Source organism: Homo sapiens, chromosome 3 (assembly GCF_000001405.40).
Source record: "Homo sapiens chromosome 3, GRCh38.p14 Primary Assembly".
Taxonomy (NCBI): Eukaryota; Metazoa; Chordata; class Mammalia; order Primates; family Hominidae; genus Homo; species Homo sapiens.
Genome location: NC_000003.12, coordinates 4772067 through 4796362, shown reverse-complemented (window position 1 = coordinate 4796362; position 24296 = coordinate 4772067). Strand labels below are relative to the sequence as shown.

The window sequence follows — 24296 nt, the reverse complement described above, 5'->3', positions numbered from 1 at the left end:
GTCAAATCTTTTTAGACATAGACACGGGCATTCATGTTTCCTGACATGACATTAAAAAAAAAATCCCCCCTGGACTTGTGTTTAGATTGTACTTTTCGGAGCGGGGGCATTCAGATGGTGCCTTCCACGTAACTTAAGGTCAAACAGAAAAGCTAACTCCTCAAAAGGGTAACTTAGGCATATAAGCATTACATAACATCGCTTTCAAGTTGGTCCTTAAACTGACTCATTACCCATACATGTCTGCTTCCGTTGATGTCTGCATGATTAAGCTAAAGAGTGGAGCCTGAAACTTACTCCTGTGTGGTTTTTGGGCTCTTTATCCCATTCTCTGTCACATAAGGTGGTTCCTGGCAGGTTGTTCTATGCGTATGTGAGGTGATCTGCCAAAAAGCTCTGATGAAAAATTTAGCCGGGAGGTGGACCTCCCAGGTGGCTGCTGTGGATGTCAGAAAAGGGGCCATGAATGTATCACAGAAGAGGAGCTTTGAATGCTTGTCGAGGGGCCCCAAATAGCAAAATGCCCACCTCCAAATTGTCTGCCTTTTCTCAGCAAAATGTGTAGCCTGGAAGGAGGTAGGCTGGGGGGAACCCAGAAAGACCATAATCATCATGTTTTGTTATGTGAATAATGGCAGGTACCTCTTAATAGACTAAACATTGTACAGTCTGCAGTCATTCAAGTCCTGCCTCCCCTCTGACCCCTGGCAAAAAAAATATTCCAGAGATTTCTTACAAATTCTTTAGTCTGAAATCAATTCCAGAAGTGCGGTGTGGAAACACATATACTGGACTGAGCATCAAGACGTCTACGTTTTAGGGTTAGCTCTGCCATTAGTTAGCTATGTGACTTTGGCCTGATTTCTTAACTGCTCTGAGACATAGTTTCCTCATATATAAAAGAAGGGGCTGATTAAGAGACTTTCTCACAGGTTTAATAGTATCTAGCTGCTTCTCTTTCTTTCCTGGTTAAAAAAAATGGATAAAAAAGTTAAATTATTTTAAGTTAGATTTAAAACTAAATCTATGGTAACAGCTACAATCTCCTCTTGTCTGAATGTGGATAACTGGGATCCCCAGTACTGCACCAATACATCCAGGAACCACAACTGAGATGCAAGTCCTAGCCTTCCTGCTGCTTCTAATAGGATTTTTGAAGTTAAAGATATGGGTACCTCCTCGGACTCCCTTAAACGGGTAGAAAAACGCCACCAGCAGGTTCATCAGGACGGCCAGGTTAAACGAAATGCTGCTCCAGAAAGACATGTTGCGGGCACACCAGTACAACACGGGCTGGGCTGCAGAGACAAAGGCAAAGCCGCGTGAGGCTGGAGACCCCAAGCCGGAACGCCAGGAATGCAATGTGGCCCTTCCGCCAGCTCTGCCCCACAAGTCCACTTTTGTTCCCGGTTTTTACCACAAGAGTAAAAATGATCATTTGTTTGGAACTTGGTACATAATGACATCAGATTGGTTTATTTCTGTGTGGAGTACTTACTGGAACAGAAGATGTATTGGGGGTGGAGTAAGGAGAGAGCAAAAAGAGAAAAGTTGGAGCATCTATAAACCCTGCATACCCCAGCCGCAGCCATCAGTTGCGGAATCTGGGGGTTATCCAGAGTTCACACATTGAGTCCTCGGTTCCCCCTAGGGCTCTGGGACCAGATGAGATGCCCGGAGAGACCCAAAAATTCAATTAGCTTTTTAGAAGTGTGGGGCACTGGGGAGGGGTGGGGGAGATACAGCATTCAGAGTCAGCCCCGCTGGGCCCCAGACTAGGGCTGGTATCATTTCCACATTCCTCTCTGGCTCAACATGCTCCACTAACACGCCAGTGCCTAAAAGCAAGACAATGATTCCTTTCCCGGCATTGAGTCATCTGCCATTTCCCTGAAGTTGGATGATCATTCTTGAGGACAGGGAAGCGAGGGGTACAAGTTGCTGACCTCGTGGTCAGCAGCAGAGTTCCCATCTCCAGGGCTGTGGCAGAGAGAGGATGTGGCAGCAAAGCCATCACAAAGGGGCAAGAGACAGAGACGCTTTGGACATTGCTGCCACCTTAATCCACCGCTGCCCACAGGTTATCCCACGCTGGCCGGGCATTCTCAGTCTTAGAACAACAAACACTTGGTTACAGGGGTGCCTTTTTCCCTGAACTCTTTTTCAGTGGTGCTTTACACTTAGGGTGATGCTCCAAAATAGACATGGTAGGCATAATTTCAGTGTCCATGTCACAGGCAAAGTTTCCAAAAGACAGTCTCATTCCACATCATCCCCCTCCAGAGAAAAGCATGGAGTACGTGAGAATGGATCTCGATCGTATATTTCTTTTTCCCAATGAAGTCATCATGTAACTTTGCGACAGCAGCCAATGACAAATCCAACGGCCTTATAATAATGCTTGTAGCAGCAGCCAAGCCTTTGGGAGCTTCCAACCAAAATAAAATTATGGTACAATTAAATAGAGCCCTGGGTAATTTATTAATCGCCCATATCATGTTTGCACTTGGTAACAGGCAATGTTTCCAAACTGTAGAGTTTTAGAGCCATGAGCAATCATCTAGTTTAAAATCCCTCATTGTATAAATGAGGGAAACTGAGGCCCAGCACAGGGCAGAAGCAGTGGAGATCTTGTTATCCAGGTTAGTGATCCTCTGGGGTCAGCGGCAGGGATAAAAATAAATGACCCATGTGACAATTGAATGGGGGGCCAGCCAGGACCCAGTCAACCACTACGTAGCAATGTACTTTCTTTGGTAAGTTGATTGCTGAAGCAAATTTAAGCTGAGACATTTATCTGCTCTAGAAACAACAGCTATTGTGTTTCTTCTGGGACTGAAGCCCATTTCCGATCTGGATATGTAAACTCCAGAAGAGGACAGAAGAGATGAATGGCAAAGAGTTGATAACCGCTGAAGCTGAGTGATGGATATGTGGGAATCTGAAATATCCTCTCCACACTAGTGTGTGTATAAAAAGCTCATAAAACAAAGTTGGGGGGAAGAAAAGGATCTGGCAAAGCTCAGTGATGGTCTGTGTAAGCCAGCATTCGTTTCAGAGGGAGTGCTCCGTATCAAATGTGAGTGCGTGTACTGCAGGATACGCTAATATGATTGTAATAAATGGTCTTCAACTATGGCATATAGTTCATGAAATGAATCTTATTTTTATAAGGCTAACATTCTACTTAAGTTGTAATGTTGTTTTCAATCTGGACAAACATTCAGTCCTTCAAATCAACTAGGTATTTATCCAGGTGCAAGAAGATACTTAGAGACCAATCTTGACATGCAATGTCTTTTATTTCCTGTGGCACATGGAACTATGTCCCTATCTACCTTTCCAGACACTTCTCCCACTCCCCTTCCCCATATACTCTGCCTTTGTATCCCAATCTAGTGGTGGTTCCCGAACACACCCCGCACTCTCCAGCCTCTGCACACTCGCTTTGTGTCAATTTAAAAATATGTTCATGAATTATTTGATCCTCCTCCCTTCAAGTGGTACATCTTAATTTCCCTTCCACTTGAGTATGGGCTGGACTTAACAACCTGTTACTAATAAATAAGAGTAGAGTGAAACTGCTGGTTCATGCCTTCTGAGACTAGGTGATATTAATAAAAACACTGTGGCTTCCTTCTCCTCCCCTCTCTCTCCCTCTCCCTCTGTCTCATCAATAATTTGCTCTGAGGAAATCATCTGCCATGTCATGAGGATGCTGAAGCAGACCTATGGAGAGGTCCGTGTGGAGGGGACCTGAGGCCTCCTGCCGACAGCCACGTAAGAGCACCAAGGAGCGGACCCTGTAGGTCCACTTAAGCCTTCAAATGATGGCAGCCCTGGCTGACATCCTGGCTACAACCCCATGAGAGACCTGAGCCAGAACCATCCAGAGGAGCCACTCCCAAGTTCCTGACCCCAAGAAACTGTGAGGAAATAAACATTTATTGTTTTAAGTCACGACATGTTGGGGCAATTTGTTATACAGCAATAAAAAGCAACTAACCTACTTTCTGTGGCAGCCAAATAACGTGCCCCCCTCCAACATGTTGACATGTGAATCATTAGAACTTGTGAATGTGCTACCTAACCTAGCAAAAGGGGCTTTGCAGGTATGATTAGGTTAAGGATGTGAGGTGGGGAGGTTGTCTTGGATTATCTAGGTAGGTCCAATGTGGTCACAAGTATCCGTGTAGGTGAGAGAGTGAGAGAGGGAACAGGAGGGTCAGTAGCACAGCATGAGAAATGCTCTACTGAACAATGCTGCTTTGAAGGTGGAGGGAGGGGCCGGGGGCCACAGGTAGCCTCTAGCAGCTGGAAAAGGATATGGCCTTCAGAAGGAACACAGCCCTATCAACACGTTGGTATTAGCCCAGCGAGAATCTTTTCAGACTTCTGACCTCCAGAACTGTAAGATAATCAACGTATGTTGTTGTAAGCTTCAAGCTTTGTGGTAATTTGTTATAGCAGCAATGGGCAACAAATACATCTCCCCATCCCCCAATCTCTCAGGCTGTGTCTATTCAAGTCCTACAGACCTTTCTAGATGCTACTCAAATCCTACCTTTTCTCTGAAGCCTTCCTTTCTTGTACTTCCATGCGTCAATGCTTGATTACAGCTCTAGTCACAAACAGCTTGGTATTGCAGCCACTTAAAAATATGCCGTTGTTGTCTGCCCACTTCAGATAGTAAGTGCCCACAGGAGGAGTCATAGCTTACACACTGTTGAATTCCTCACTGTACCTTATAGCAGGGGTCCCCAACCCTGGGGCCGCAGACCAGTTCTGGCCCATAGCCTGTTATGAACTGGGCAGCACAGCAGAAGGTGAGCAGCAAGCGAGCATTACCACCTAAGCTCTGCCTCTGTCACATCAGCAAGGGCATCAGATGCTCACAGGAGTGTGAACCCTATTGTGAACTGTGCATGTGAGGGATCTAGGAGGCTGCACACTCCGTAAGAAAATCTAATGCTTGATGATCTGAGGTGGGACAGTTTCATCCCCAAATCATCCCTCCGATCTGTGGAAAATTGTCTTCCATGAAACCAGTCTCTGCTGCCCTAAAGGTTGGGGACCGCTGCCTTACAGCACGTTTTCTACTTATCAGGGGCTAAAAGTTGGTTGGATCAATATACCTGCTACATTATAGCAAAAAGAAGGAGTGCTGTGATCCTGGATTGGCAAGGCAATTTAAATAACCACAGCCTAGGGCATCTCTTGGTAACATTCTTTCCTAGTTTTTTGTTTGTGTTTGTTTGAGAGGAACGGGACTTTACTGGAAGGCTTGGACTCCATATACACTTACGAGTGGGATAATCACATGGGAAAACCTCATGCAAGAAAGTGTCAGCACATTCAACTCTGCCTCGATTTCCTCTTTCTTTCTCTCTCTTCTCATTTTCCTAGCCCAGAGTTTTCACTTCACTGGGGATAGGATCTTCAGGAAAGGATATCAGGGAGGGATGGTGAGAGAGAGGATGTGAGTGCACAGAAGACTATGTGTGTGTTCTAGAGTAAATAAAGCAGAGAAGAGAGTTTATGAAGCTCAGAGCAATTGCATATTTTAATCTTGCAGAAGAAAATACTAAGCCCCATCAGTCTCAGACGGATCTCACTACGTGTCTGAGTCCTAGCTGCAGATTTACTGAAGAACAGATGATCCTCTGCAATACATTCAGGAAAAGGTAAAACAGCGAAATGAATGAGCCTGAAAAATTGATTCTGCAGACTTATTAGAAGAGATATAAGCTACTTAGAGGGGAAAATGCATTTCATTTTAATTGTATTTCCGATGAGTACATTTCTCCCTCCCCAAGTGTGCAAATCATGGTTAATTCAGTTATTATTTTCAATTTCTCTCTTACCAGCAGATAGTTTTGAAGCCAATTAAAATCTTTCAGCTGACAACTGCAGTTGTGCTTAAGTTTCACTGAAATGAAAACTGTTTTTCAAAAAAAGAATGACTGAAATAAGGAAGGTATTAGCTACAATATAATATAAGTCTTGGCATAATGACCATGCTACAGTCCATCAATTAGGTCATCTTAATCCCTCACTTCACAGGTGAGGGTCTGGGAGCAGTTAAGCCATTTGTCCCAGGGCCATGGAGCCTGTTGGGGGCAGAAATGGACTAGAACTGATTCCTCACTCTTTGGGCCTGAGGGTCCTCCTACTATTCCAGGCTGGAGACATTATCTCAAAAAAAGGGATAAGGAGATATCTCATCTCACCAGAAAAGGTGAAAACCTTTTTGTCATCTCCAAAATAAGCCTTTTGGAGAACCTATAAAATACATACATTATACATAAACATTTCATAAAACAATTTATAGAGAATGAATGTATCAGTGTATGTGTCTGACCAATTTCATAGACACATATTCTGATAAGGCTAAAATTACAGCCTATTAACTATCATGGAGGTTTGGATACAAGAACTCAGGATTGGCTGGGCGCAGTGGCTCATGCCTGTAATCCCAGCACTTTGGGAAGCTGAGGCGGATGGATCACAAGGTCAGGAGTTTGAGACCCTCCTGGCCAACATGGTGAAGCCCCATCTCTATTACAAATACAAAAATTAGCCAGCCATGGTGGCATGTGCCTGTAATCTCAGCTACTCAGGAGGCTAAGGCAGGGGAATCGCTTGAACCCGGGAGGTGGAGGTTGCAGTGACCCGAGATCGCGCCACTGCACTCCAGCCTGGGCGACAGACCAAGACTCTGTCTCAAAAAACAAAAACAAAAACAAAAACAAAAACAAAAACAAAACACCTCAGGATTATTCCCTAAAGCTGGAATGATGGAATATCCCAGTGAAGGACAAAAGCAACAGATAAGTTTTCTCCTATGTAACATAATAGCTAGAAAAATGAGGATGAAATGGGTGGGGTCTATGTCTCCCTTTTGGAGTACAGGGTATCTTTTTCCCTCTTATTGCCCAAGCATGGTGCTCTGCAAAAGTTTCCATGTTCATGAGGATCCTGGAGCTGCAAGAGTCTTTGAGGAATCTACAGTAGGCTATGAGGACACTCTGATACCAGGTAGAATTGCACCTGTGTCTCCTGAGGTCCATACCGTGGAGGCCACAGAGGCTGGTCTGCTAATGGTCCCCTGGCCCCTCGGTCAGACACTAGACATGGAGCTGGCTGAGGGATGGATTTGGCCTGGCCAGACTTTTTGTAATGTTTGAAGGTGCTGCACAGGGAGGTGCCCCTTAGAGACGAGCAAGAGTACAGCGGGGCTGGAAGTGAGGTGGGAATGGGACCTTTGGGCGAACCTTCTTGCACCACCTTATCTGCCATTAGCCTGATCTAGGGATGCAGGCAGGTAGGGAGAAAAGGGAAGAAAAAACAGACAGCACTGGTCCGTGCCTGCTCAGATTGGCAGCATCACGGAGAAGACGAAAGCTCTGGGAAACTGACCTCCAACACGGCTGTTCTCCACCCCAGGTCTACCCCTCAGAAAGAGCTCAACACGTCACAACTATAGCTGGAATCCAGTGTTTCAAATAAAAAAGTCTGGCTCCTGATGAACAGATAGAAATCAAGCACGATCCTTTTTAAGTTGGTCTCAACAGCCAGTGCCAAGCACAAGGCTGGTACTGAAGGATCACATTAAAACCCCAGTGAAAACCAGGAACACAGAAGCCCCCTGGGGAAGCCCTACGAATGTGTTTCAGACAAGTAATTTCCACCTGACTGGCTGGGATACTCAATGGGACTCGCTGGTGAGCAATGATGCACCTTATGTGGCAAATGATTCCATTGCCTGTAAAACGATTTAGTCTAAAATCCAAGCTACCCCATAAAAGGGAAAATACCAGAGTCTCTGGAGCAGGTGTGCTAGTAAATGAGCCAGCAAGCAGTGTGAATTTCCTGCTCAAGTGAACCACCCTGTGAGCTCAAGGGCCTGGGCTTTTCCCTTTTCTTTTTATTTTCTAGATAGAGATATCAAAAGAGGCATTCAAAAAGTCTTCCATGGAGCTTTCCAATCAAATCAAGTCAAATTCTGATGAAGGAAGCCTTTTCAGGGGAGTTATCATACTTTGGCTTGAGCCCACTGATCAGCTGCAAAACTGGTTATGACTTCCTGGTGGTCAGAGGTGCAAAGTATCATAAATGATACTAGCTTTGCTCCTGCTTGGAAATGAACGCACCATCAAGCCCAAGTTTGTGAAATCCCAGAACTGTGTCTCTCTGTGTTGTTGCTGATGCGTTGGAACCCACCTCTCAGTTTCTTCTGCCAATTCATTTCATTGAAGAGGTCTTCAGACCGCAGAAAGAAATCATTGATTTTGCTGCCTTGTTCGTCTCTCTCTGTAGTATAGTAAATTCGTAGTTTTGACTCCTTGGTTAGGAATTCACATATGCTGGGCACGGGAAAGACTATCTGTTCCATTGTTCGGTCTAATCTGACAATCTAGGATGAAAAAGTGGATGAGATTAAATATTCATCTTTGAAACCTTTTACTAAGACTATTTGCTACTGGTGGTAGACTCGGTGGTCAAGATTGAGTATAATATGATCTCTGATTTTATAACCCCAAACTGGGCTGTGTGTCTCAGATTTATATAAAAAATAGCTTGGGTAACTCTGGAAGAGTATTTTCCTAACTTCAGATCCATTAACTTTATTTATTTATTTTTAATTTTTATTTTTTTGAGACAGAGTCAGGAGTCTTGCTCTGTCACCCAGGACAGAGTGCAGTGGTGCGATCTTGGCTCACTGCAACCTCTGCCTCCTGGGTTTAAGTGATTCTCCTGCCTCAGCCTCCAGAGTAGCTGGGATTACAGGCACGCACCTTCACGCCTGGCTTTTTTTTTTTTTTCCTCCAGTATTGACAGGGTTTTACTATGTTGGCCAGGCTGGTCTCAAACTCCTGAGCCCAGGTGGTCTGCCCACCTCAGCCTCCCAAAATGCTGGGATTACAGGCGTGAGCCACTGTGCCTGACCTAATTTTAATTTTTTTATATAATCCAAGACAATGATGAACCCATGAATTCTTTTTTTTTTTTTTTTTTTTTTTTTGAGATGGAGTCTCGTTTTGTTGTCCAGGCTGGAGTATGGTGGTGCGATCTCAGCTCACTGCAACCTCCACCTCCCTGTGAACCCATTAATTTCTAAGGTGACCAACTTTTATCTGGATCAATTCACTCTGTGTTTTGTGTGCATATTCACATGAGGCTGGTGCTATCCCTAGAACTTTCTGTAATGATGGAATGGTTCTGTGTCTGTCCTATCCACGAGGACAGCCGCTAGTCACGTGTGGCCCCAATCACTAACACCTGTGGCTAGTGCAACTGAGAGGCAGAATATTTAATTTTATTTAATTGTATTTAAATAGCCATACATAGCTAGTGACTATCATGTTGGAGAGTACACTGCTAGGCAGTGGTATAAATCTCACTTAAGGCACTTTCTCAGATAGTAACATTGGGTTATTTTTCCTAGATGGGAACTTTAAAAAGAGATCTTTGGTTATATCCAGTTGCAGTGACCTCCTACCTTGTCAAAGGATCTAAAACATACAATACATGAACCAACATGCCTATTTAACTCTGGGGCAGCACTCACTGTTCTTTATGCTGGGTATGTTTGGGCCCCAGGGGTGGACACCTTGCAAGTTTCCTCCATGCACTTCCTAGACTGGCTCAGTCCCCAGAGAGGAGGTACTCTGGCTGGATTGTTCAAATTCTAGCGCACTTGATTGTGTCATAGTCCTGGGAGGTAGTGATTTCGAAAGGGCTATGGGTTACAGTATAGTAGAGGCACAAGTCTCTCTTCTTCCTCCTCAGAGGTTGGAGAAGTCAGGTGAGGCCCAGGATGCAACGTGCTCTACAAGAAGAGCTGGTTCTAGCTCTCCCAAAACCTTTGTTCCCTGATACAGCAAGAGAGGTGACTCAGGTCAAGCTGTAGTGGGAAACTCTCTTAGAGGTGAGACAGGTTCCCACAGCCCTGCCTCCATAAGTTCTGGGGGGTGTGGTCTTTAGACCAGTGGTTCCCAAATCCATGTGGAGATCAGGTTAGTTACCATACTGATTCTTGTCCATAACTCAACCCCATTTAACTGGAATTGTGGTGTGGGGTCAGTGACCAGAACCTGCACACAAGCAGTTCCCCCATGATCTTGGTGTATGCAAGGGTCAGGGATCACCTCTGCCGTCTCCTGCTATCAAGAGCCTGCCTGCTTCATATAGTCAAGTGGACTATGGACAAGTGCTTCTTCCCACTGAAGGAAGATGATCTGAGGTGTGCATCTGGGTCCAGGAGGGAAAGGAGGAGTAGACAAGGAGGCCTCCTGGCAAGAACTGAGTTCTAGACTCCAGGGCTACCCAGCCTAGTTCACCAGAGTGAAGACATTGGGTCTGCATGGAAAGCCCTTGGTAGTAACAAAGTGTCCCTGGCTTTGCATCGATCACTCCCTAGGGAAACCTGAAGAGCTGGGTGGCTGGCCAAGGGCAGGATTTGAGAGCTAGGTCATGCCTGGTCACTTCTCTTTACCATTTAAGATCTATTTGTAACTCTTCCTCAGTAGTTTTAGAATCTGGAGTCAGGAGAACATATTTCAGTCCTTCTAACATCCCTAAAAAGCTAGGTGACCTTGTTCACACCTCTTAAACCTGATCAAGTTTCAGTCTTCTCCCCAGTGAGTCAAGGAGCTCAATGAGATAATCTCCAAGGTCCTTTTCTCCTCTGAAATTCTGTATCACAGACATCTAAAGCTCGCCTTTTAAGGGCTCTAGAGGACAGAGCTGGCCCTTCAGTCAAGCTCCTAGGCATTAATGATAAATCAGATATTTGCTCACATACACTGGCATGGTTGGCTAATCAGTGAAATGATGTGTTTTATTAGGATAGCCCAGAGACCTGAGACATCAGGTCAGAACACATTCTTGAAAAGTCTCCATCATGAACATTTCATATTGCCCAAAGGAGTCTGTCCATTCTTTAAAATCTTTGTTTCAACACTGATATTGAACTTGTGCATTTCCTCATTAGCAAAACACATCATTCCTTACTGCTCAAAGCCTGTAGAGAGAAGTCTGTGTTCTCTTGGATTCTGAAAGACAGTGCAGGTACAAACGGACCCACAGGCTCAGGGACCAGACAGATCAGGATGAAAATTCCAGCTCTGCCACTGGTGGCTGGAAAAGTGACACAGTCTCTCTGAGCCTTATTTCACAGCTCCCCATTTGCAAAATGGAGATACACCAATGACTTTGCAGAGGCTTTGTTTTTTTGTTTGTTTCTTTCCCCCAGAGAAGATTGTAAAGCTTTATTGAAAGAATTTAAGTCACATTTTCAATATAACACCAACATGTGTGGCTTCAGCTTGTCTTCTTTTTAACTTATGGCTGCCCAGCACCTGCTTCTGTAATTTGAGCATTCCCTAGATTAGGTGGAGTCTCCCCTTTCACATTATGGCCATCTCCACACTCACAATGCATCATGACACTTTTTCTTTTTTTTTTGAGACAGCTTGCTCTGTCGCCCTGGCTGAAGTGCAGTGGTGCGATCTTGGCCCACTGCAATCCCCGCCTCCTAGGCTCAAGCCATTCTTGTGCCTCAGCCTCCCAAGTAGCTGGAATTACAGGCGTGTGCCACCACGCCTGGCTAATTTTTTTTTTTTTTTTTTTTTGTATTTTTAGTGGAGAAGGGGTTTCACCATGTTGGCCAGGCTGGTCTTGAACTCCTGACCTCAAGTGATCTACCTGCCTCGGCCTCCCAAAGTGTTGGGATTACAGGCATGAGCCACTGTGCCCAGCCACATGACACCTTTTTTAAAAAAAAAAAAAAAACAAAAAACACAGATCTGATTGTAATGCCCTCTTGGGGAAAACTCTCCAGTGGTTCCCCATTGCTCTGGGGATGCAGCCCAGACTTCTCATAAGGATGGTTGATAGGACCCTGTGAGATCAGGGCTGCCTGCCTTTCCCTTCGGATCTCCCTCTGCACTGAACTCTATGCCCTGAGCCTTGAAGCCTTGCTTAGCCCCTCCGGATCACCTAGAATCTTCCCACGTCTGGGCTTTCGCTTGCTGTTATTCCCCATGTCTGAAAAGTTCCTCTTGCTAGTCTCTACCTGTTTCATCCCTCTGTTCTTTACGGTCTGGGTTCAGATGAAATTTCTTCAGACTAGGCCTCTGTGACCACCACGATCTACAGCAGGTCCCTCTGCTGGACTTTCTTATGATGCCTCCCACCTGTCCTCGTGAATTCGTGAGGAATGAGAGGTTGCTCAGTGTCCTCTTCCCCACCGGACCACAAGCAGCAATAATGACTGTCTTGGCCATGGGATGTCCAGCACCCAGCCCAGGACCTAGCACACAGTACACACTCACATTTCCATTGCTCAGATGAATGAATGCACGCCAGCCCCAGAGCAGGGCATTGCACACTAATGGCCTCAACACAACCCCATGCCCTGAGTTTACTCAGCTTTTACCTCTATCTGCGCCGTGTGCTTGGCATAAAACTCCAGGGCTTCATCTCCGTCCACTTGGCCACCAGGTTTCAGCATGCTCTGAAGTTCTTTGTTATGCCGAGCCAACTAGAATACAGGGACAGAGATACAGGAGGTTGGTGTCTCTTCACAACAGGAACACAGAAACTCCTTTCTCATGTTGGGTATTTAAAAATGCATAATAACCAGCAGCAAGCCAAAGGGCAAAGGTGCCACGAGGCTTGCTCCATCCCATCACGGCGTGCTGTGCACAGGCGCTATTTTGGGAGCTTGGTAGAAAAGCATGGAAAGCTCGTGCCCACACATGGTTCCACTTTCCCCCGATGTCATTAGCCAGGCAGGAGGGAGATGGGGCTTTCTGTGTAGCCTAGGGAGCCTCCATTCGGAATGTTCAGAAACCTTCTCGGTGGCAGATGTGGTCATGGAAGGGAAAAGAGGCAGGAGACTGTTTGAAATTCTTTAACCAGTGGGTGGTAACAGGGGCCCACCAACCTCGGGCCCAATATCATCATTGTTGTGTATCTGGTTCCCGTACCTGAGTTTAAAAGAGGTGGACGGGACAGGAAACACAAGGCTCCAGCAGGGTTACAGCCTGCCCCTACCCACCGAAAGCTCAAGGCACGTCGGCATCCAAAAAGAGAAAGGCTCTTCAAAAACCCAGCCGCTTGGAAGGAGAATTATGAAACATGGCATTTTGGTGCCAGGGCATAAAGTATTGCCGTATCCCCAAAAAGGGAAACAAAAGGAAGTCATAAGGACAAGTTCCCACAGATTTCCAAGTGCAATATGCAAGGAAGCTGAAGTTTATTTCTTTGGATTGTTAAGAGAGGCTCATCAATATTTATAAAAGCCTAAGACTCCTTTCAACTGTCTCCAGACAGAGTCATAAACCATCCAAGTATCACTGCTTGGGGGTGAATGCTTTTAAGAAACACGGGGATTTCCAACTACATGACCCTATCACTGTGGAAAAATGGAAACGTCCTGGAACTCTGCACACTGGGTCAGGTTGCCACGAGCACCTGTGAGCCGCAGGCTCATGAGTACAGACAGTCCTAGGTTAAAGTCATAAAGGAAAAGCAAGACTGGGGGCACCCTCCAGCTCGGAATTTTGGACCTGTAGGGAGGCAGCATCCAGAGGAGGCACAGGAGAGATCATACCTGATGGGCTAATATGTAGATGTTGTGCCCCACGTTCCTGGGGGACGCCGCCCCATCCTCACCGTTTTCTCCATCCTCAAATTCCACTTCACCTTGCATGTAGGCTTTCTTGATCACTTCCACCTGCAAGAAGAGCCAAGGGAACAAAAATCCTGTTTCAAGGAAGACCCACACAGGACTGGATGGACAGCATGCACACTGGCTGTCTCCCCTCCCAGGGAAAAGGCTGTTCCGCACTCTCTCCTATCGGGCTTGGACACAGCCTCAGAATCCTTCATGACACTGGCACAGGCCATCAATACCAATCCACCTCTCCTGTCGTGAGAAATGAAACTCATTCACTCTACTTAGACCAAGAGACATGCTGTGGCTGGTTAATGTCCTTCTTTAGAAGGCAGCAATGGCTTTCAAGCACCTTGAAACAATAAATATGATATGAATGTAGGCTAGAAGCCAGACTTTTCCTATCTCAACATTTCCTCCCACCAACATTTCCCACTCCCAGCCCTTTACCATTTCAGGAAAACCTGATAAGAAGTCTATTCACATTTAGGAATAGCTGGTGAAACTATTTCTTCATTTTTAAAATTTTCCCAGTCCCCAACAGCCTACTCCAAATGAAAATAACAGCACGAACTAGTATTACCTACTGAGTACTTACTATGTGCCAAGGACTGTGTCTAGGTGTTTAACATTCTTTCAAAAAAATTTAATGCTCACAAACATTTATAAGGTATCAGAGATTCCCCTCCTTTTTTTGAGACAGGGTCTTGCTCTGTCACCCAGGCTGGAGTGCAGTGGTACAATCATGGCTCACTATAGCCCTGACCTCCCAGGCTCAAGTGATCCTCCTGCCTTATCCTCCCAAGTAGCTGGAACTACAGGTGTCCACCACCATGCCTGGCTAATGCTTTATTTTTTTGTAAACACAAGGTCTCACTATGTTGCCCAGGCTGGTCTTGAACTCCTGGACTCCAGTGTTCCTCCCACCTCAGCCTCCCAAAGTGCTGCAATTACAGGTGTGAGCCACTGCACCTGTTTCCTTATTTATTTTGTTAGTGGATGAGGAAGTAGAGTCAAGGAGATAAAAGAACATTCCTAAAGTCACAGGTGGTGAGCTGGGATGTGAACTTGGCCCTATTACCCTTCACAGCCGCACGACTCGGCTCCCGGAGGACCACACACTTGGCTTGTCTCATGGTTTGAGCACATTTCTCAGAGCATTTCTGTGCCTGTCTGATTGTTCCCTCAAGTTTCTGTCTCAGTTTCTTGAGAGCGGGGACTGGGTCTGCTCATATCTGAATCCTTCCCCTAAGACCCTCCGCAATGCCCAGGACAATGTAGGGTGTGGCCAACACTTATCAAATGAACACATCATTCATGATTGAATCATTTCAAGAAGAAGAAAATACCTTCAACCTCTAATTTGTACTAAAAATTATAATCTTCTTTGAAGATTCAGTGGGCATTTCTGCCTCCCCCATTGCCACGAGGCCATTCCCATGAATTATTTGTCATTATCTAATACCAAAGGCCACGTATGTCAGCACTGACACCAAGTCAGGCCCTGGAAGTAACGGTGGAGACAAGAGAGCCTCACTGTCTGAGCTTGTTTCCCTGCCAATTCTCTCAAATACTAAATCGAGCAGACAACATGTTACATGCGATTTGAGGCCAGGAGCATACACACGTATGTACGCACACATGCATGTACACACGTGTTCTATTTGGATTCTTAGAACAGTGTTTGTTCCAGGAAGCCTGACTCCTCCTATGAGCCAGAATGATGTTCTCCAACCACCGGGGGGCTGCCCAAGAGCCGGTGCCAGCCACCTCACTGGGTGTTGACATTTTCCCCACCTGAGATAGGTCAGAGAGCTGGGGCATGTTCTTGATTCCTGGGAAGCCGAATGGGGTCCCTGCATAGTCATTCCATCCCTGCTCAAGAATGACAAACCTCGCCTCCCCAGTGATCCCCAGTTACATAAGCTTGTTATGTAAACTCAGAGAGGCCTTCCATCTCGGGCTGAGAACTTACTCCCTGACCTCAGAGATCAAAGAACTGGGCTGCTCTTAACTTTATTTAAAAGCATACATAAAGGGACTTTTGCCTGGCCCCCAAGTGCACATTCAGGTCACCAGGAGGCAGAAATGTTTTGGTGCCCTCATTTAAGTCTGTCAGTTACAGTTTATTAGCGTGGAAAAAGAGTCCAAATAGAGAGCTCTGCCCTCAACTCATGTCACCGTCTCTGAAAGCTGCTCGTCTCACAGCCTGCAACACTCTCCCAACCTGCAAGTCACAGCCAATTGTGACTATCACCCCTCAAAAATAAACCAGATCGTGTTTTCTTTAAATGAAACAAACAAAAAATCCAAACGTCAGCAACCAAAAAACATTTCTGTAGCTCAGACTCTTGGCACCAAGAAGAGACATGAATTCTTCAGCACTGGACAAAGATATGGCTCAAATACCAGCAGCAAACGAGGAAAGAAAAAGGAAAAGGAACTTCCGTTCATTAAGGGTGTATCAGGTGCTGAGCATGGTGCTAGGGCTTGACATGAATCTTCTCATCTAGTCTTCAAAGCAACCCTCTGGACTAGGGAATATTATTATTATTGTCCTTTTATGGATCAGGAAAGTGCAGCTCAGAGAAGTCTAAGGTAACACAGCAAAACAGGCAGAGCTATGGACTTGAACTCAGGTCTGCTAGGTTCCGTAACCACACTGTCCCCCATGAGGGAAAAACAGAGACGGAGGCTTCTCCATGTGGTTTATGCCAAAGGGAGAGGGTAAAACAGCACGTATTCAATGTCATATAGGTTGGTGCAAAAGTAATCGCGGTTTTTGCCATTACTTTCAACGGCAAAAGTAATAGTGGTTTTGCCATTGAAAGTAATAGCAAAAACCGCGATTACTTTTGCACCAACCAAAATATTTCACTTCTCTACTCAGTCAGAGGCCTGAATTCAATGTTCCCTTTATACTTCTGACTTTGGGAACCTTCAAGAAAGCTCCAGGAAGCAGATCCTCTGCTCTGTCCCAAATATCGTCGCAATGCTCCTTGGTGCTACCATCAGATCCGTCACCCGACTCACCAGTTCCTTGGGCCTCATGTTATAAAGTATCCTCTCTGCGTTTTCACTGTCGTGCCTGCTTTCCATGATGGCCAGGAGCAACTTCGAGGCATTGTTCTAGTTGGAGAAACAAAGGGAGAGGAAATGTAGAGGGGCTGCTTGGGGGCCCGGCCTGAATGCAGGTGCCAACTGGCACATGGGAGGCATCCCGGCTAAACAGACGAACATTTCACCCCATGAGGAAGCTCTGGGTTAAGGACATCAAAATCCATCTGCACCAGGCAGAGAGCATCCCCCTTCAGACCCCAGATACGTGTGCAGAATCTGATTTCGGACAAAGAGGCACATATTTGTCAGGGCATGTGTGTTATGCCCTAATGTTAGCTGGTACAAGTCCTAGAAGAAATTGGGAATTTACACGTGGGTGCTTACGGATACACTGTCACCCTCATGGTGACAGTGGTTGGGAAGAAGCTGCTACTACACAGATCTGTGCTGCCTTCCGGGCAGGTGTGGTTACAAACTGTTATTTGGCCTTGCAGGCCAGAGAAGACAGGTAATAAAGGTAATTCTTCCCTGTCTTAAAATATTTCTATTAGCTCTCATAACCCCTAATATAATGAGTACATCTGACACTAGTTAACAAATGTGACCCAAAGGAACAATGTATGCAGGCCAAGCCCTAATTTCCCATTACATTAAAAACACCCATGTTCACACCCCACATCCTGTACTTCCTGGCTTGACTTCATTTTAGGCCCTGGGTCTATGATACTTTGTATGCTTCTTTATGTACAGGACTTGAAAGCTGTTGGGTTTTTTTTCTTTTTTTGGACAGTGAGAGTGGTCTTATTTCTTCCCCTAGTTTAGGTCACAGCAGTTGAGTCAGGGTATCATGCTATCGCAGGGCACAAATTTCTATCATCATCCATAGATCACTGGATTAGTTGAAAAAGTCACTCAAATGCTGACCAGGAGCACATGAACTTCTGTTTATTTCGGACTTTCTGATAAATGGTGGCCAGGTACACAAGGTTGAATCTGTTAAAATTCACTCTAAAACACAATTTGTCAAAAGGAATTAAAAATAGCAGAAAAAAAGTCCATTTAAACCACACACCCAAATCGACTGTTAGTGTGGACTCTCAGTTCTAAATAGTAAAGAAAAAATAACTGCCATTCCCACAGGTTTCTGTGTTCCCATCTTTCCTAATGACCTTTCCTATGACATCCTTCATGCAATAAATACAGCTCAACCTTTCAGCCAAAACCCTGTAGTTCTAGGCTCTTTCATGATAATGATGAAGTGCTCGCTGCTGCGGATGGGCAGATAGAGGACAAATCTCAACATGCCCTGACATGGGAACAGTTAAAAAGGAAATGTGTCCAGAAAGGCTAACATGTTTTGAAATATACTTTAGAAACCTGATGCCTGCAAGCTCAATTGTTAAAACTGAATCATGGGATTCTCAGAGAACCTATGGAACCCCTACATAGAAGGGAGGGTTTTCTGGGTATACTTTAGAAGTCAACATCAGGAATGGTATATCAATTTCTCAAATATCCAAAAAAGGCCAGCTTGGAAATGCTGCAGGTTTAGCACCTAGAAGTCACGATTTTCATTCCGTTAAGCTGTTTGAGTAATAGAGAGTCCAAATGTCAGTGGGGCTTCCACATCAGTCACCTGCAGTCCCGCATTTGTACACAATACAGAGAAACTCAGCAGAGGCCCGCAGGCACATTTTTGGTTTGTGTAATTTTCCTTATTTTAAACCAACATTATTAACCACCCTTCTGCTAAATCAGTGACAAAAGAGAAAAAGGTATTTCCTTGATTAAGTAAAAATACATGTTTGTTTTTTTGGGTTTTTTTTTTTTGGTCCTAGATAGGCTTAGTTGTACTATTCTTCAACCGGCCCTTTTCCCTCAAATGGGGAAAAATCAGAAACCAGAGAGGGAATGGCGTTTCCACTGTTTCTCTCTTTGTGACTTTCAGAACCAAGGTATTTAGTACTCGATGCTGTTGGGATTCACTTCTTAGCTTGGAGCAAGGAATCTTCATTCTGTGTGACCTAACAGTTCAGAAGCTCCTATCCCCTCATGAGATACCTTACGTGGAAGAGAAAGGTTGGAGTTCTGCATCGTAGTCAGCACTAGCAACCTGGGTCATTCATTTAAAGAACTATCTTTAATATTTACTCTCATGACTAATTGCCCATGTGCATGTGCCAAGGCAAAACACAAAAGTGACTGTTTCCAAATGACTGTCTTCTGCTTTTAATTCCTACTTGCCTTCAGTTCTAACACAAGGTCCATCCTCTTCTTTCCCAAAGGATTGATATCATTGAGGATCAGGGCTGTGATGATGTCAATGCCATTGGATTCATGGGTGGCTATGCAGTTCTGAGCAAAGACACACACAGACATTCACACAAACGCTGGTCATAAATCAGACGTCAAAGGCCAACAGGCTGAACTGCTATTTCAACACAATGCTTACCACTCCCAGTAATGTCTCTAGGGGAGAGCTGCAAATTTTCCGTGAGAAAGTGGTAAGAATAAAAGACAGATGAAAATCTCTAGTTTCAGAATTAACAGTAAACAGTAGGAAAGTCCCCATGCACTGTAACTGATAAATTGGTTGTGTCTAATCCAAATCATGCAGCACAGTTGGCTTTTGTTCTTAAGGGAAAATATGGTGTATGACTGATTCTGGGTTCTGAACCCTTTTTCCCCTTTCAAGGTGTGTTCCATTCTCTCTAAAGCACTCTTTTTGTATTTTGTACTTTAGCTTAAGGCTTAAGCTTGGAAAGCAAGTTTCCTGTTTAAGGCACACAATATCAAAATTAATCATCTGCCCCCAGGTAACATCTCCGTTTGCAGCACAATCCACTCTGATCTGTTCCTTTCAACAGGCCCCTATTTGGCAGAGAAGCAAACTTGAGGTAATAAGGAAATTCACTTAGATGTCAAATAAAGCCTTTCCCCAAGCCTGTTGTATTTTTTTTGTTCCTTTTCATTTTAACTAGGACTACACCATCTGCTTCATGAGGGAACCGGGAGAAGAAAGTGCATCTCACAAAATGCTATTCTCACATTCACAGACAACTGAGACCAGGTTTTTAATAGACAATGAGTTGTCTCTCATAAACCGTTCTCCTCTGAATGAAGGGCCTGGCTCCCCAAGTCACACAAGTAACCTTCCCTGGCTGCTGGGTTTAGCACTGACCATTTGAAGCCTTGGTCGTCTCTCTCCAGTTAGGATGAAGCTATAATTTGGTATTAAAAAACATACTTGGCTGGGCGCGGTGGCTCAAGCCTGTAATCCCAGCACTTTGGCAAGCCGAGGTGGGTGGATCACGAGGTCAGAAGTTCAAGACCAGCCTGGCCAATATGGTGAAACCCCATCTCTACTAAAAAAATACAAAAATTAGCCAGGCATGATGGCATGCACCTGTAGTCCCAGCTACTAGGGAGGCTGAGGCAGAAGAATCGCTTGAATCCAGGAGGCAGTGAGCCGAGATTGCACCACTGCACTCCAGCCTGGGCAACAGAGTGAGACTCCGTCTCCAAAAACAAACAAACAAAACATCATACTCAACCTAGCACAATGCAAAAACTCACAAAATCCTTAAGATGCCATGTATAAGCAATGACTCTACTCAAGACAAGAAGTTATTGGGTTGTACTCCCAAAATATTCTTCTTTGAGAGACCAAAGTCAAGACTATCTCATCTTTCTTTCCCCTGAATGTCCATGATGTTTAAATCTCAACTATAAAAATGTCCTTATATTACTTTCAAGCTGTCTCACGTGTAGTAATTTTCTTCTCTCTAGCTAGGCTTAAACCCCCTTCCAGTAGTCACTCTTTGAAATCCCCTAGTATTTAAAATAGGTCACTGTCTTTTGGTTCTCATTTCACTCCTGCCTTATTGCCTACTCCTAGAAATCAAGTTAAATAGTTGGACATTCAAACCAAATCAAATGAAGCCAAACCTAGCCAAGGAAAGAGACCATGGACTGTCCCTCCAATGTCCTTCATTAGGAAGGTTCTGAAGTATCATGAAACACCATGGCTATTTCTCAACTGCTGGAAGACAGCCTCCTGTCCTACTGACTCCCTAGGCCAACAGGCACAGGCTTCGTGATTTCTGAACTAGTCTCTATCAACATTTCCAAAATGGGACACTTTTTTTCCCCATCCCAAAACAGAAATTTAATTACCTGGTTCTCATGGCAAGGTCCTTGACAGTATTCGGTCAGACTTTCCAGGGTTTGGTTGATAAGCGCTACATTCTTTTCATTTATATACAAGCCCAGAAGACCAAGGCCTCCAGTTGTGCTTCCACAAATACAGTCCAGAAACTGCAGGGTCTCACATACCAAATTGTAGTTGGTCTTGTTATTTTGGCAACGGAGGAAGTTCTGCAATTGGGTAGTCCCCAGGTTCGGTGAGCAAAGGCAGAGGGAAGAGGGAAACGTTATTCATCCTGCCATTCTGATAGCCTCTAATAGGTTGGTAATTATACAGAGAGATGCCACGTGGGAGAGCATGGAAGAGTCAGTATGCCCCCCACCACCATGATGATAAACCCATGGACTTGGTGTATGGCAATGGCCCTCAACAATGCAACCTGCTCTCCAAGGTGTAAGTATATGGAATGCAGTGCAGTTGACTCCTATAATCTTTTTGAGTCCTCATTTCTCCATTCACTTCTTAACCCTTCCTCTCTCCTGCCCACCCCAGCTTCCATCAGGTGTTGAGTTCAGAGGCATCTGACATTTCCAAGGGCGGTGGTTTTGTTTAAAGATGATGGTTTGATCTGAGTGCTGAATGCCCGGAGCCCAGCACTAGGGACAGTTCACCATAAAATGGGGGTGTGATCAGCTGGCTTACTCCCAGTGCCATGTGGCAGGAGCCTGGATTACTTGTTTGGCCATTTCCACGATTAAAGGAAGGAGTGACAGTGAGTAAATGTGTGTGTGCTTGTGTGCATGTGCCTGAGCAGGTGTTCTCCAGGTGAGTTCTAAATGTAAACAAGAGGCACAGATAGGAGCAAGACACTTCCTCAACAAAATTTAAAAAGCCACATTCACCCAACTTGAGAAATAGAGTATTTTAATGAGGAGATTTTTGTCAGAGGCTCCAGTCATCTGTTCTTAAAAAGAAGCAAAAATTAATTATGTATGTTCTTTTCCTCAGTTACCAAAGCGACATGCTTACTGTAAAAAAAATGGGCAATAGGAAAAGATTAAATGGACATGATCTTTGACCCAGTAATTTCCACTTCTATGAAGTATTCACTTCTACTCACAAAGTATGTATTGGATGTCCACTATAGTACTGCTTGTGACAGTGAAGAACTGGAAACAACCTAATTGCGCACCAATTGAGGAGTAAATAAATTACAGTATATCTACATCATTTAATATTATAAATTAGAAACACCGAGTAGATCCCTATGTGCCAATATGGAAAGATCTCTATGACACACTGTCAAGTTTTTTCAAAAAGGCATATAGATTAATATGTAACAAATGTTCCCGTTCCAATATATAGAAAAAGGACTTGAGGATACAGTGTAAATCAACAACCAATTCTCTATGGATGAAAGAGAGGCAACTCTTGTAACTAAATACTTATTTTCATTTGGTCTTTATAAAAAGAACATATCCACACATTCCTTGTATAATTAAAACATTTGTAAATGCACAGGTTAAGAGCTGGTAACCAAGTTCAGTGCTTGACTCATCACCAAACTAACCACCTCCTTTCTCCCCACTACAACTTAACCCAAATCCCTTTTGCTCCATAACAAGTTCAGGTCCAGGTGGGAGGTGGAGGGAGAACAGATGATTTGGGACTGTGTGGGCTCGATTGTTTCTCTAAGGGAAACCAGAGGAGGATTTCACAGCCATTTCTGCCTTGCTCCAGCTCCTCAGGGAAGATACTACCTGTTTGAGGGGTTGGCTCAGCCCTGCTCTGTGCAGGGGCGCTGGAGGAGTGTTTGGGACAACTCTGGAGAGGTCCTGGCTGTCCATGGCTGAAATTCACAGCAAGGCTCTCCTGGCCCATCTGTCTGTCAAACTTCTGTTACTGCTCCCAGTGAATTTAAAAAGGCATATAGATTAATATGTAACAAATGTTCCCATTCGAATATATAGAAAAAGGACTTGAAGATACAGTCTAAACCAACAACCAAGTCTCTATGGATGAAAGAGAGGCAACTCTTATAACATCTGAGAGGCAACTCTTATAACACCTGTCTCTCAAACTTCTGTTACCACTCCCAATGAATTCATTTCATTTAATTGAGATTATTTCAACCAGTGTTTACAACACACTTCAAGCACTCCTCATTCTCTGCCTGGCCTCCAGGCTCCCACCAGGCAATGCCCTCTGCCTGTTGCTCTCGAGGCCTCCACCCTGAATGACTCCTCTTCCTTCAGGATGTGGTCTAAAGTCACTTCTAGGAAGCTCCTCCGACCCCTGAGCCCTACTCCAGTGAGATGGGAGCATCGCAAGTCGCCTCTTCCAGCCTTCCTCACTCCTGTGATGTGCGTACAGAGGGACCGATCAACTCACCAAGGACCACGTTGACAGCGCTGGGTGCCCAGCAGCTGGCACAGGGACTGGCACCTACCAGCTGCATTGTAAACACTGGATGAAATAATCTGAACTAAATGAAATGAATGGAGGGAAGAGGACTGGGAAGTCCTCAAGGCTAGCTGGGCCCACGTGTTTCAAACTCCCCATGAAGACAATGGCTGCCCATTCCTGAAAGCCTCTCCCATCTCTCATGGCTTTCAGAGTGTCTGGACAGAATCTGTCCCAGACTCAGATCCATTTCCTCTGGCCCTCTCCATAAACAGAGGCACACCACTCACTACGAGGCACAGGGAACTCCTTCTTAGAGAAGAGAACTCCCCTTCAGCATGTACCACCCTGCCTTGTCCAAGCTAGAGAAATCCTGCCCTTTTTGCAGTCTTCCTTGAAGAGCCTGGGACCAAGTTGAGATGGGTGGGTTAAGGAAATGGAAGACTTCAAGTCTGTGCTTAGACAGACTTTGGTGGAAAGAGATCAGGACCTGCATTCATTACCCCAGGGGAAAAGCAAAGCCAGCTTCTCAGGGGAGGGTCCCCAAACACATGCCAACTGGCTGAAGAGAGGTTTTTCCCATCACATTTCTGACCACTGTAAACAAGGCTTGCTTAAGGCAGCAACTGCCTGTTTGGCAAAGTGAGACTTGGTGACTTTATCTCTTCTGAACATTTACCAACAGGAAAGTTAAGGTTATAAATATGACAAGCAACTCCGGGCACGAGCCCAAAGGGTGCTGCTGCAAAAGGCCAGATTCCTTCTCCCTCTGTGCTGACTCTGAGCTGCTTTACACCAGGAAGCTGAACACTCTCTCCTTATGAGAATGCCTTCTCCTTCCCTCCGATCCAAGAGGAATCCCTGACCCAGTGACCCACCCCCTGTTCTGGGATATTGCCACAGAATGGCACTCAGAGTGGCTGAGTCCTGCTTAAAACTATTCTTTGGAGAAGTGGATTTCTACACACCATAATTTTATTGGAGGCAAGTCACCACCTGAGA

General features: G+C 45.0%; 1 protein-coding gene across 4 annotated transcripts in view, besides 2 other annotated features; it reads right to left on the bottom strand.

The window, feature by feature from the left end:
* The window catches only part of ITPR1 (inositol 1,4,5-trisphosphate receptor type 1), a 354159-nt gene that overhangs the window by 51144 nt on the left and 278719 nt on the right, over window positions 1-24296 (bottom strand). For all 4 annotated transcript variants that reach the window (NM_001378452.1, NM_001099952.4, NM_001168272.2 and 1 more), the window contains 7 exon segments: window positions 20921-21121; window positions 18989-19099; window positions 16718-16813; window positions 13622-13744; window positions 12443-12547; window positions 8224-8416; window positions 1176-1298 (listed from right to left, as the gene is read on the bottom strand). In NM_001378452.1, coding sequence (NP_001365381.1) covers window positions 1176-1298; window positions 8224-8416; window positions 12443-12547; window positions 13622-13744; window positions 16718-16813; window positions 18989-19099; window positions 20921-21121 — 952 coding nt within the window.
* Window positions 12358-13317: an enhancer, noted in NCBI's record as "H3K27ac hESC enhancer chr3:4824730-4825689 (GRCh37/hg19 assembly coordinates)". NCBI's record gives its function as "activates a minimal SCP1, AML or CMV promoter by ChIP-STARR-seq in primed H9 embryonic stem cells {active_cell/tissue: H9 hESC(primed)}" and the evidence as "EXISTENCE:reporter gene assay evidence [ECO:0000049][PMID:30033119]".
* Window positions 19650-19719: an enhancer, noted in NCBI's record as "active region_19355". NCBI's record gives its function as "activates an Ori minimal core promoter by ATAC-STARR-seq in GM12878 lymphoblastoid cells {active_cell/tissue: GM12878}" and the evidence as "EXISTENCE:reporter gene assay evidence [ECO:0000049][PMID:35858748]".